The sequence below is a fragment of the Homo sapiens genome, chromosome 20, assembly GCF_000001405.40.
Source record: "Homo sapiens chromosome 20, GRCh38.p14 Primary Assembly".
NCBI lineage: Eukaryota > Metazoa > Chordata > Mammalia > Primates > Hominidae > Homo > Homo sapiens.
Window position 1 is genome coordinate 22,385,065 of NC_000020.11, and position 14,580 is coordinate 22,399,644.

The 14,580-nt window shown below is 39.5% G+C and overlaps 2 annotated features.

Annotated features, from left to right (window-relative positions):
- Positions 4,917–6,116: an enhancer, noted in NCBI's record as "P300/CBP strongly-dependent group 1 enhancer chr20:22370619-22371818 (GRCh37/hg19 assembly coordinates)". NCBI's record gives its function as "activates an origin of replication core promoter dependent on BRD2, BRD4, P300/CBP, MED14 and CDK7 cofactors, with strong dependence on P300/CBP, by STARR-seq in HCT116 cells {active_cell/tissue: HCT116}" and the evidence as "EXISTENCE:reporter gene assay evidence [ECO:0000049][PMID:35650434]".
- Positions 5,055–5,606: an enhancer, noted in NCBI's record as "OCT4-NANOG hESC enhancer chr20:22370757-22371308 (GRCh37/hg19 assembly coordinates)". NCBI's record gives its function as "activates a minimal SCP1, AML or CMV promoter by ChIP-STARR-seq in primed H9 embryonic stem cells {active_cell/tissue: H9 hESC(primed)}" and the evidence as "EXISTENCE:reporter gene assay evidence [ECO:0000049][PMID:30033119]".

The following is a 14,580-nucleotide window of genomic DNA, read 5'->3' on the forward strand; positions in this document are numbered from 1 at the left end:
GACAGCACAGGACTGGCCCATGGGGTCACCAAGGGAGTGCAGGCTTAGTGGAGGGAGTTCCGTCTTTGCCTGGGGAAAGGAGGCAGTTTACTTAAGGATTAGCTGCCCCCACCTGCATGGAAGGTACCTTCTACTCTTCCACAATGCAGGCTATTCAGGTCTGAAAATAACACCGTGTTTCCGGGCCTGGGCCTTGAGCCCCAGGCTGACCAGAAGCTAACCAGCTTGATCTCACATTAGCAGCTTCAGCTTGTTGGCTCACTGGGCAGTGATAACCATGCCAGGGTCTCTTCCAGCCTAGACAGGCTGATTCTATGAAATAAACAAAAGACATCTGAGATGTTTTTCTCATCTGAGACACGGGCCCCTGGGCAAACTCCCCACTCCTGCCCAGAAACTGAGGCCTTCCAACCCTTTCTCCTGTACTCCAGAGCCCCTGGAGGGAGCCTGGCTGTGCCCTTCAGGGGCATTCTCCACTCCCTGTCCTGGTGAAACCTCAAGAATGAAGCGCTTCCTTTTCTGAGAATAGCCACCACATTATTCCATTCATGACCCCATGCTTGCAGAAACGCCATGGTCCTGGAAGCAGCTAGAATAGCATTGTGGCTTGCCAACAGTCCCATCTGAGGGTCATTTATTGCACTTCTCTGTTTCACTTTCCTTGAATATATGGACAAATGCAATAGTTTGTGAAAACTAAAGGTGAAATTTCATATTGCTTGTATGAAAGCAAAATATCCTGCACGAAATAAACTTTCCAACCCTCTTTTCTCCCTCCCTTTTTCCTCTCTGTGCCCCCAACCCCTCCCGCCTTTTTCTCTGCCCTGTTCTTTCTCCTCGTCTCCCTCTCATCTGGCATGCCTAATCAATGGTACCTAATCACTCCTCTACAGGCTGACAGATGAGAAGTTCACTGTATAGAGATGGGTTTCAGAAAAACTGGCAACATCTGTCCCATTCCTAACTCCACCTGATAACCAGTTGTGTTAGTAACATGGTAGAATTCAATTTTGTGTTTTCTGTTAAAAATTCAAGTGCAGAAATCTGGCTGTCCAGGGACTAGAAGAGCGTACCTATCCTGTCTCCTTTGCGAGTACCACTTGGGTGGTTTTTCTCTCCTCTCCTTTAGATGGCACCAGTTTATTGCAGTGTGGCCACCCAGACACTCCCTTCTGCTACCTCAATTAGTATTCATTGTGCAAAAATAAGAAAATTCCTTCATTACGCTGGTGCCTGGTGGCAATCTGATAACTAAGGCGGTGCATCTGCATTTCCATTATAAACCACATTTCTCACTTAGGGTTGTCGCTCAGCAATAAAAACTTGCTAGCAAGGTCTTAACCCTCGGACATTTAAAAATAAACATTGCATTTAGCTTTTAAAGGGTCTGTCTTTTCCTAATTATATATGTCAAGTCTGAGAATTTTTTTTTCTCCATGTGACCAAAAAAGAATTAGGACTTTATCTAGGTTTTTGGAAATTTCAACAAGGTATCAGTTTGTATTAAAATAAAATGCAAAAAGTGAAAGGTATTTCAATAGAAACCAAAGAGGAATATAATCCTTTTAATTTTGAAATTTATCTTCCCAGAGATGTGAATGATGGATGGTCTATTCTATCACCTTCTACTTTTTGTGTCTCTGGTCAAACCTGCTACAATAAGGCAAAGCTAACATCTGCAACAATTAACCAGAACTTCGTCCACAGTGCATTCCTTTAGGAATCACCTAGATCCTCACTGCATTTGCTTCTCCACTGTTTCAGGAGAAACTCAGTCATAAAGCGAATGCAGAGGTGAGGGCTCCTTGTCGAAGGCCTCAGCCACCCACATTCACAGTAAATGGAATTACCTTCTTCATGGGCCCACTTCAAGACTCCTGTGTTTTTCACAATAGTTCGTATTTCAAGTATTCTGTCCTGTTATCAGGCATTGTATCAAATCATGCATCCTGTTTTTTGATCATAAAAATATCTGGCCTGGAAAATATCTGGTCAGATTGGGTTTCCCAGTCTGGAACTTTTTCACACACGGCTTCTACATGAACCAACCAAAATAAAATCTCAAATCAATGTTGGCTTTCTTTCATCTGTACAGATACTCCTTCTTTTAAAAATAATTTGAGATTGGTAGTTACTTAAATGTTTTCTGTTTAACTCTCTGAATGTCATTAAAATTGGAATTTGTGAATTAACATAAAATAGCAAAGTCGTAGATTTTCATCAATTATAATGCTTCCCTGGTCTATATTCACTTTGTGTGATCAAGCTAAAATGTCTCAGGTACACATTTGAACTGATCCACATAGAAGAGTGACATTTGAATGTTTGTTACTGATCTCTCTCCATCTGCTATTAGCTGCTATTGATGTTAAGTGATACCAGTTTGCTCAACTGAAAGGCAGATTTGGGATTAAAGCATAAACAGGTCACAGTTATAAGAGAAAAGAAATGTTGCGCACCAGAGTTAATTGATTGTTTCTCCCTCTTGGGCAGCTTCTGAAATGTATGCAAATGACTAGAGCCACAGATGAAAGAAAGAAGTGAAAGAGAGAAAGAAAGAGTCACACACACAGGTTTTATGGGTCTGTGCTACTCCCTGAAAGTATATGTGATGCCTTTGAAAGGGTATTCAGAGATGAATCATGAGAATGGGAGTAGAATTACTTGTGTGTGTAACTGACACAAATGTGGAAAACAATTCCTTTCTCTTCCTTGTGTTGGCTTCAGACTGCAATCCCCATTTCCCAACATAAAAAAATAGCTAGATCTTGAAATGCCAATTTAATTGTAAGTCAAGATGGATCACCAGGAAGCCTCAGCTAGGCAGGACTTGCCCAAAGTGAGGTGGGGATAGCGTTGGAGCAGAGTAGCAGAAAGAAATTGTGCAGAGAAAGCAGGGTTGGTAAGGTGTATCACAAAGGAGAGTTGACTCTAGGTTGCAGCACTGCAGTAAATTATGAGGAAGAGGATGGGTGCTGTCACTCACAGCTAAGTCAGTTAGGAAAGTCATGAAAGAGAAAAAATGCACCACTATGGTGGTGCTTGGGGTAACTCCCATTATTCAGTGAAGCGAGTTGGAGCAGAAACTTAGGAGGCCACTGAGGTTTCAGAGTGTAAGTGACTGCAGAAGGATAATTTTCACCCAAAACATCAGCATGGAAAAGTGTAACCACTATTGAAGAGGTTGAGAAACTTATTTTATAACAAAACCATGTCTATAACTAAATGTGTCTGTGCCCTTTTAAGTTGCTTGGGGATGGAACCTGCTGACTAGGAATTATACCCCAATTCACTGTGGAGCAGGGGTCCCAAAGAGTAGCAACAAAAGATCAGGTGAGGCTGGGTGCGGTGGCTCACGCCTGTAATCCCAGCACTTTGGGAGGCTAAGGCGGGAGGATTGCTTGAGCCCAGGAGTTTGAAAACAGCCTGAGCAACATGGCAAGACCTTGTCTCTACAAAATTTATTTTAATTAGCCAGGAGTGGTGACATGCACCTGTAGTCCCAGCTACTTGGGAGGCTGAGGTGGGAGGATGGCTTGAGCCCAGAAAGTTGAGACTGCAGCGAGCCGTGTTTGTGCCACTGCATTCCAGCCTAGGTGACAGAGGGAGATCCTGTCTCAAAAAATTTAAAAAAAGGTCATGTGGGTCTCTAAGCCAGAGATGCACCTGACCTCCTCCTCTGCCAGACACACTCCTATTCACCTTTCAAGATCCAAGTCCAATATCACCTTACACCTGTTTGGATGGCTATTATCAAACAATGAAAGAGATATTAAATGTTGGCAACAGTGTGGGGAAAGGGAACCCTTGTACACTGTTGGTCAGACTGTAAATTGGTGCAGCCATTCTTAAAAACAGTATGGAGTTCCCTAAAGACATTAAAAATAGATCTACCCTATGGCCTAAATATCTATCTTCTGGGTACATGCCCGAAGGAAATGAAATCATCACCTTTAAAGATATATGCACTTCTCTGTTTACTGCAGCACTATTCACAATAATCAAGATATGGAAACAACCTAAGTGTCCCTTGACAGACAAATGAATGAGGAAACTGTGGTGTGGCCAGGATGGTCTTGATCTCTGGATCTCATGATCCACCCGCCTTGGCCTCCCAAATTGCTGGGTTTACAGGCGTGAGCCACTGTGCCTGGCCAGGAATATTATTTAATCTTTAAAAAGAAAGAGATCCTGCCATTTGCCACAACGTGGATGAAACCGGAGGACATTATTCTAAGTGAAATAAGTCAGACACAGAAAAAAAAATTTGCATTATCTCAGTTACATATGGAAGCTAAAAAAAAGTCAAATATACAGAGATAGAAAATAAAACAGTGGTTATCTGGACCAGGGGTGGGGTGGGAATAAAGAGATGTAGGTCCAAGGAACAAAGCAGCAGCTATACAGAATGAACAAGTCTAGAGCTAAGGCACAATAAGGGGACTACACTGATGATATTGTACTGTCCTCAGGATTTTTCCCAAATTGGTAGATTTTAGCTGCTCTTGCCACACACAAAAAGAGGGTAACTACCTAAGATGATGGATATGTTCATTTGTTTCACTACAGTAACTATTTTACTACCTCTATATATCCCATAACATCATGTTGTGTACCTTAAATACACATAATCAAAATTATTTTTAAAAACGAGACAGAGAAAGAAACACTCAACTCCACATGCCCCACCCCCTGTGAAAGTTTATTTCTTTCCTCACACCCAATTCTTCCTCTATAGCATTTTGTTCATACTTCCTCTGTATGATATTTACTGCTATAGGACACTTAATAGATTAAAAAGCTGATCATCCCATATGACTGAGTTCTTGATGAGTTCTTGAGTGCTTCAGGATTTGATCTTAGCCATATTTGTATCCTCAGCATTTGGTACAAGGTTTTCAGGTAAAACTAGATAACGTAACTGGTTATTGGCTAATGGACAGGTGGATACATGCATGGATGTTGGGAGGGTCTTGCTCTCGAATTAGTCCTTTATGCTGGAGTGGTTATGAAGAAATAACCAGGGGCAGAAAGCCAGACATTTTTCATTATGGCAATGGCGCACACTTTTGTCCTGTAATTTAGTTTGAAGACAATGTCCATACACCAACCTGTGTTCCCGAATAAATGCCTAAGACTTCTTGGGGTGGGTAGGGGACCAATCTAATTGAGGATGTCATTCCATTATTGGCCCTGGGACACATGTCCACCCTGCTACTCTTGGAGAAAGTTAGTTTGTAGGAGGCATTTGCTGGCTGGAGCTGCGGTCAGTCAGCAGTGAATCATTCAGGTGCCCTGCAGCCGTTTCCTAAGAGACCACACGCTGAGTACCTGCTGAATCATGAGCTTCCGTTGAGTAACAATAGCCACTCTGACAAGCTGGAGGGAGGGTTTTGCTGGAGCAGATACTTGGCACACACCTGAGCTGCCCAATCTGAAATTAAGGGAAGAAAAAGGGAAATGTGCAGCTTGACTCACCGATAATCTATCGTGATGGGAGTTGCTCCCAAGGCAATGGTGTGTTTTCAGGTCAGAAGAAGCCAGGCAAACTTTTTACTTCATTCATTTTTAATAGGTATTTTCCTACCCTCCTTTATGTTGCTATGCCATCATATGAAACTAACTCCCTTTTAGTTCTCACTACATAGGCACTAACGGCCTACTTAGTCATGGAAAGAAAATGCAGCCCCACATCTTCTAAAGGAGGGGATACTTTATAACTTTCTACCTTAAAGTGGATGCTAAAGGCCAATGTGTGACCAAGAACAAATCATGAGGTGGTTCCAATGAGACTCAAGGAAAACGTTCAGAATGCAGACGAAATAAACTTGGAGTTTGGAATGGATAAAACTTCTTGACTGAAGTTTAAATATAAACCCAGATTTCTAATCACCCTTTATTCTCCACCTAAATACCCATAATAATCTTCTATGATGCTTGATATCATTAAAGCTCCAAGACCCTGCACAGTATTAGAGTAAGAAACAGCAAAGATTCTCTGGGCCTTTTATTATAGTTCTACCAATTAAATGATGCTTAAGCCCTCATATGAAACTCCACATTTCTGTATCATAATATATACAAGAGATCATTTTGGTAAGAGGTATTTAAAAGGCTGGAGTGACCCGTTGGCCAACCAAAGGGATAAGAAATGTGGAAGAGTGGAATACAACTTTGATTGTTAGTAGCAATGCACTGGGTCAGAGTGACTAGGCTGGGACTAACTTCAGTTAGGAAAATATGACTAGTTAAAAACTATAAAAAACACTAGCTTTTAAAAATATATACCTTTTTCCACCTGTCCCTGATGAGCTCTTTGCTTTTCATGTTGGGTCTTCCTTCTTCTCATTGAGTGAAATTGAATACCCTGCATGAAGCTCATGAGAAATCCAGTTATCAGAAAACCCAGATATTAGGAGCTCATGAGAAACCCAGTTACCAGTGTTATCCAAAGCATAACCCTCTTGTTCTTCATCTCACTCTGTCCATACCCCATTCTCTGCCTCTCTGCATGTGAATTCTGTTTAAAATGAAATGTAGTAGTGAATTGACTCCTAGAAGAGACAGGACCCTGATGGCCACCAGATCTGCCGCAACAATCTATTACAACCACAGCTGAAAGGCCAAACTGTTGATCAAATTGTGTAGTTGTTAATTCAATACCATACTAAATATATGTTATTCTTTCTACTAAATTGACTGATTTCATGGAATTTACCTTTTTTCCAATAAATTAAATAGACAGTGTTGTATATCATAAAACATATTAAGATATCACATATGTGGTACCCTAAACTATTTATAGTCATAAAGTATTAAAGAACATGTTTTCCAAGAATATTTAATGCCATGGGGAAATGCTCACAATATAGTATGAGGGAACAAAGGAGAAAACAAAAACAAAATCTGCATACAACATGAACTTAAAATCTGTAAAAATATATGTGAGTATATTTATATATCAAAATGCTAACTGAGCTGTATTCTCAGTACTTGTATAAAGAGAAGAGAATAGAAAATAATGTTCTCTAATTTTAAAGAGACATAAAGAGAATTATAATAATCAATTTTCTGAAGTTCTGCTCATAAAGAGCCTACTAGTTCACTGCACGACAGTATCTAGTTATGAACATTTGACTTACTAAACTATAGAGAAATTCTGCCTATACTTTACATAAAAACTCATTCATTTCAAACATCCAGGTGTAAGATGAGATCACCTGCACAAAAATACAAAAGTAAAATGAAAAGAATATTACTCACTTCAGAAAATTTAAAAATATGGTTTTTCCCTTAGTTTCATTTAGAGTGTGAAATTTCAGAAAGGATTTGTGAATAAGAAAGTGCTTGACTTATCAAGGAAGAAAAACACCAACATGAAACATTAAACCTGTTAGACTGTTAGATATAAACCTGTTAGATGCATTTGGCATGTCAATTCTATAAAATCACACATACAGTCTATCTATAAAATAAATTATATCATTATATTTTATAGTTAACATTTTTTTCTTGAGAATGCTCCAGTTTTTCAATGAATGAGAAGTAGGAATTATTTCCTTTTTAATAAATGCTCCAGGAGACTTAACCTACATGACCCCATTTTTATGGAAGATGGTTTTATCTTCTCCTGCCACTGAGTCCTCGCATGACAATGCAGCCTTCCGCTTGGTGAATAAAATCTCATTCGAATGGCTGCACACTCTTGCTTACATTTTGAAACATGTTTGCATTAAAATGTATTTATGGCTGAAAACGTTCATGAGAAGTCCCCCTGACTTTTTACTCTCCCAGGGATTATTGATAGGGTTTCTGCATTGATTCTATCAAACTCATTACCTGAGCTTCCTGTGCCTTTACTTCCCCAAAAGCAAAGTGCTCATCCTAATCTTCCTACCTCCCCAAGAGAACTGGGGGTAACATGGCAAGCAGCCTGCAATTTATGGAAACATCCTATACGGTGGCCCTGGTATTTTCAGATTTAACATTTACAAGTGGCCATGCATTAATTGTTCATTTTGCAGAGGGACAAATTTGAATAGAACAAAGTAAGAGGCTGGTGTACAGAAGCAAACACCCAAACTACTGAATCAAGCCAGCCACGCACCAAGTGTCCTCACCTGCCTGGCTCATTTACAAACTCCCCAGAAGTGGAGTGCCGACCTCACGAGGCTAGACAAAGGAAACAGTGGTCTCTTAAAGAAGTGATCATTGAAAATGTTTTATTTTCATTGACTTCCACCTCCCTATCACAGAATTATTAAAGAAGTGATGGGAATCACCTTACACTTTGAGTTATATGGTACTCAATTATAACCAATATTGGGGAACATTATTTGCTAGGGTGGTATTTTCAAATTTAGTGATGTTTGACCACCTTGGGACACATTTCTATCAGATGTGAAGAGACTATGATAAATAACTTCATTATTGGGATAGAAAATAAATGCACCTTTTCTCCCTGAAAACTGCAATTCATGCAGAGTTCTAGCTTGAAGTAAATAACTTCATTTTACAATTACCTCTTTTGTGTTGGCTTCCAAGACTTCTGCCATTTTAGGCTGCTAATGTTTGCAAAATTCATGCAGTGGGATGCAATGGTGAGTCTGACCGCTGCTTGTCTTACCTGGATGTTGTGAATACCTGGATGCCCAACCCTTAAGGACAAGGCTTAAAGGACAAACCTGTAGCACAGCACCCACGAGGCAGTCAGGACAGGTGACTGGTTGTATTGCTAGAAGCTGGCACAGTCATTTTCCCATGTTTCTTACCAGTGAACTTCCCTGGCTCCAGGGCTCCCAGGTTCACCTCTGGAGGTCTGGGCTGGTCTTGGGAATGTTTGGTCAGTGCACCTGTCCCTAATTTCTCTTCCATTTCTTGGCGAATGAAGGCAGAATAATACCATCCCGTCAAAAGGTAACTCTAGCGAATGGTCTTGTCTCCTGCTCTGCCCCACCCCTTTGACACCCCACCCCCATTTCTGGCCAAAGCCCAGCTGCAAGGAGGATGGAGCTCATAGCAAAAGAAGAAGAAAACTTCTGCCAGTTGGTAGAAAGCTCAGTCTAAACGGAACATTTTGCACCAAGCTGAGGTGGAGGACAATGCCTCCAGCTCTCACAGTAGGAACTCCATCCTGGTACTGGCAAAATAGCTCCTTGGTGTTGTGGGTGGGAACAGGCTGCACATCAATGCTGGGACACTGCCCCTGGAGAGGAGGTACTGGCCTTGAAGTGTTGCCTCTCAGGCTCATACCCTGCTGGAAGAACAAACAAGGAGGGATGGTTGTTTGTGTGGACAAATATGGCCAAGTTGGAGGTCTGCCTGTGGGAGGAGCCCTGTCTCTTTTCATCCCTGGGTGAAGGTTGTGGGGGAAGGGGTGGGGATGGAAGACATGAAACTGAGGCTGAGAATGGGAGAGCAAGGAACAAGATTCTGATACTTATCAGAAAGGGTAAACATCTTTTTCAGGTTCCTATCCTGATTGCGGGCCACCTGTGTTGTTTTCCCATAGATTCAATTCCATCTCTTCATTCTTTCAACCAACATTCACTGGGTGCACCCAGGACGGTGCTAGGTACTGGGAGGAAAAATAACACAGCATGGTCTCTGCCTTCAGAGAGCTCACACTCTGCTTCCAGAGCTTAATAAACATCATCCACTCCACCTGCTTTTCTTTTCATGTGATGTAATTCTCAAACCTTGGGTGAGCAGGTGCCAGTGGGCATTGCTCCCATGTGACACCAGTGAATCATATGCTGATGGTTTCTAAATCATAGGAAGCTTGGATTGGAAGAGAATGTAGAATTCAACCAGCACTCTTGCTTTCAAACATGAACACTGAAGCCTAGATGTAGCCAAAGCACACAGAAAGTTAAAGGGGTGGTAAAATCACATCTCCCAGCTCCTGAGTCCCAATCCAGCTCTCCTGGTCCTGCACCTGGTGCATCCTGCCCTTGGGAGACTTTTTCCTTCCTGCCCAACTTGCTATTCTGTGGTTGAGGGATTTTATCCAAATGTGAACACAGAGGAAGTATTCATTTAGATTTAAAAAATTTTTTTTTATTATACTCTAAGTTCTATGGTACATGTGTTGCGACTACTACCCATAAAATATTTTTGGAACACAGCCTTTTCCCCTTAAATAGCTCACTAGGTAGTGAATCACCTACACCAGTAGTAGCAGAATCTCCTTTAGGATGATGCCAAATGCAAAGTATGCCTTCAAGAGGAAGGTTTGTCTTGAAGCAGGCTTTTCTTCCTGAGACCAGAAAATCCCAAAATATGCTTCAAATTGCTTTCTGAATCATCTCTTTCTTTAAGCAGGTCCTATGGTTACATGGCAAGTTCTAATGGTGACTCTTCTAAATTATGAATTAGGGTCAAAAATGAAACCTGTAACTCTTCCTCTTTCTATTGCAATCCAGGGCTACTCATTTTTAAAAGAAACATTACAAAATCTGAGATTTCATTTAATCCGCCACACAAAGAAAAAAGATTTCATAAGCGACAAAATTAGAGTTGAAATTTTAAGTGATTTGATATAATTTCACTCATTTGATTCTGCAACAGTGGAATGACATTGGCCACAGAAGTGTTACAACCCCAATTTTAGGCATGCAGAATCTAAATTTTAAAATAAAGGAATATATTTAAAATCTTAGGTGACTCAGTCAACTCAGTCAATATCACCCTGCAAGCTGGTGAAAATGCCTAAATTAAAACTTGATGCTCACTTCTCAGACCTTGCTGATAAGTTACGTTAAATTTACTACTATTGTCTTGTCATTCTTCTTTAAAGATTACTGCTGGACAAAGCTGATATATCATTAAAACAGTATGATATCAATATAAAAATATGTTAATGGGACAGAATAGAAATCCAGAAAGCTCAATATGTATAAAAGTTTGGTACTTGATAAAGGTAGCTTTCAAGACAACAGGAAAAGGAAAAAATAAATACTAATGAGCCAATTCTTTAAATCTTTAAGGAAAAATCAAAATTACAGCCTCATATAATATCATACATGCACTCACATACTTTCAGATGAATTTTGATTTTTTAAAAGTTAAAAGATAAAGATTTTCACGTGGTAGAATTAGAACAAAATCAGAGAAATAGAGGAATAATTTTATTGTAGAAGAGTCTTATGTAAGCATAAGAGCAAAGAAAGATCTCACCAAATAAATAAGCACTATATATGATTACATAAAATATAACATTTCAAAATACATGCACACACACACATCACAATATACATGACAGAGAAAAGACTAATATCTTTACTATATAAGGATATTTTATAAATAATAAAAAAGGTAAATACATCAATAGATCAATAGAAAACCTGGCAAAAGATATAAACAGGCAACTCACTGAAGAAGAGCTAGAAATAATAGATGGTAAAATGGATGGCAAATATATGAAATAATTTTAAAACCTTGTGATCAAATGAAAATTTCAATAATTCCAACACATTTATCATATGATATATATACACACAATATTCCACATTTATCTTATAAAACTGGCCAACATTTTTATTTTTAATGAATATGCCCAGCACTTAATAAAAATGTAGGAAAATGAACATTCATGCCAGCTTATGGAAATATAAATTGGACTAACCATTCTAATCCACAATTTGACAATAAATATAAAAGCCTTAAAATTTATTCTGTATGAAGTAGGATATATGTTAGGATATCAGATTCTCCTAGGGATAATACCAAGGGTTTGAGGAGACGATATTCACTACAGCATCATATGTAACTGAAAAAAAAGGATAGGGCAATCTAAGTATCCAGCAGCCAAAATGTCCAAACCAATCATGAAATATGTGTACAGGATTGGAATAATATGAAGATGACACAAATCAAGCAGTAGACAAACACACTGAACTATGGAAACAACTGACAGTGTATTTCTAAGAGAAAAATTATCAAAAAGTACATGCTGTCGTTCATTTAGCCAACACATTGAGTGCTGAACTTAATTATACAAATAATAATAGCTTATGTGTATATGTAAAGAAAACACAGAACAGACATAAGGATAAAAACAAATATTACCTTTAAGTGTTGAATATTATAATGAAGATGATGGAAATCATCCATCATCTCACTATTGTTTACTTTAATAAACAGTAAGACTTTGGAAATCAGAAAGTAATAAGGAAGTTAGAAGGTGTCATGCTTTACCACATCATACGTTTTAAAACATGCCATGCTCTTTCAACATGTCATGCTATATTGTCATGCTTTTCCCCATAAGTTATAATATGTCATGCTTTTTATTTTGCAAAATCCTTTCTCCTAAGAGTTTAATAATAATGATACAATGGGATGGCAAAATGGTTCCAGCTGCTTTTTTTTTTTCCTTTTCTTTTTTTAACCAATTGCCCCAGGCCAGTTTAAGAGCTTTGATACATGATCAGAGTTTCAGCCACAGCTTCCCGGCTGGTTCAGAAACAGCAGAAGGAAGAATTTAAAGTGCAAGTAGTGGCTTCAGAGTTTCTTGGCCTCTGAGTCTCCCAGTCACTCTGCACCCTCCAAATCAAGACTCTCCCAAGTTTCTCTGTCACATGGTGCATTTGAGAGAAATGTAGAAGTGGGACTCACTGAAACTGAGGCTGGATCCTGGAATCATGCCTTATGAGTTGCTTACAAGCTTTGTTCCCTCCTTTTTAGTGTTCTCACACCTTGTTAAAACATCAAGTGCAGGTTCTCAATACTGCAAGAGAAGAGCCATCTTCCCAAGCGATTCAACAGCAAAACATTTAGATTTCCTCCCACAAATAAATGTCTTGTTCTATTATGTGCCAGTATAGGAATTATGGGACATGATCATTCAGCACCAAATTTACCTTAGATATTACAGTGATGTGTAAGATATGGCTTTTGTTGACAAAGGATTTATTATTTATTGTGTCAACAGGTCTTCCCAATGCTCCCATGAAAAAAACTTCCCGTGACTTCCTTTCACCTCAAATTACAGCTCCCTGGGTTTCTCCTCCAACACCACCCTTCTGCACTCACTATTTCTACTTTCTGAGCAGCTATTGTTCCACAATTTGTCAGTTGGACTTCTGTACCATTCTCCATCAACAATCTACTGAAAGTGGTCTGGTAAAGGTTGACAGCAATCCAAGTTGTGAGGTCCATCAACTTCTCCATCATCCCACTGTCTGAAACACTCTCTCTGTCAATCACCTTCTACCTGCAGAAAACGTTCTGTTTCCTGACCAGTGACTTAGATTTGCACAGTGATCAAGCTTTCAATGCTTGTCTTTTCTTGTTCCTTGGTCTTTCTCATGTAGACTTACCAGTTCCCTTAACCTTCAACTATCTTCTCATATTCACGACTCCTAAATTTGTGTTTCCAGCTCATCTCTCTCCTGGACTAATACAAATATGAAATAGCTTCCTGATCCTCATCAATTCTCTATTCTTATCCACACCCTCATTCCTTACCTATTGCTGAAGTCATCACCATTACCCTCTAACTCATATTCCTATCTCTGGCCTTATGCCTATCCATCCCTTTCCTTTAAAATTATATTTCTATGTCAGATATGGTTAGCGCCTTTAAGGGTCCAAATGGAAACTTGGAGCATATAAGAAATAGAGTGCAGCTCTCCCTTCGCACTCTTGACTAAAATCTTCAGGAAAACTGTCATGATCTATATGAAAATCCACAATGCCTCTGAATATGAAGCATCCCTCCCCTGGAGTCATGCAATATCCAACCTTCATGGCCATATGCGGGGGTTCTGGTTCTGTTAGTAGGATCCCACATCAGAATAACCAGGTTGACAGAACACATATATGCCATTTAATTATAATACTTTAGATCATCCACATTTCCGACAAATGGTCTTTTGGCTCCTGCACCAACATCTTCAACAACTGGGAACTCTTTCTGAAAGTGTATCTCTTCTTTACAGAGTTCAGAAACTGAACTTGCTGCCTTCTTGAAGCTTTTCTTTATTGACAAGTTTTTAAATATTTTAAGAATATTCGGAACAAGAAAGCAGAATAACACAGTGATTAAAGGTACAACCTTTGATGATCAACAGATCTGTGTTGGAATACTTTCACTATTTACTAAATGATCTTAGACGAATTCCTCAATTGCTCTATTGCTTTGTTTTTTAATCTGCAAAATGGGGATAATATCATTACCCATCTTCTCCCTTTTAGGGTTCTGAGGATTAAATGAAGTAATGCTGGTAGTGATACACAGCACCCAGTCCATAGCAGGGGCTTGGTAAGGCTGGATACCTGCCCTGGCTAAGTGGGTTTTTCATATTTTCTTCCACCTTTCTCTATATTCTGTAATTATTGGCTCTTCCCAAGTCCTGCCCATATTCCTCTATATGTGGTCCTTGGAAATGAGGTATCTAGGCTTGAATGAGGCCTTCAGATGTGATCTTCAGGTCTCAGAATGGTAAACTTACTCCAACTTGCATCTGAGGCTTAATAGTATTCATGCAATCCAGAATCTTGCTAGGTGTTTGGAGAACCACACAATCCCTTCAACCTACAACAATGCTGCAAAGGGAGAAGCTTCCAGGTGCTTTC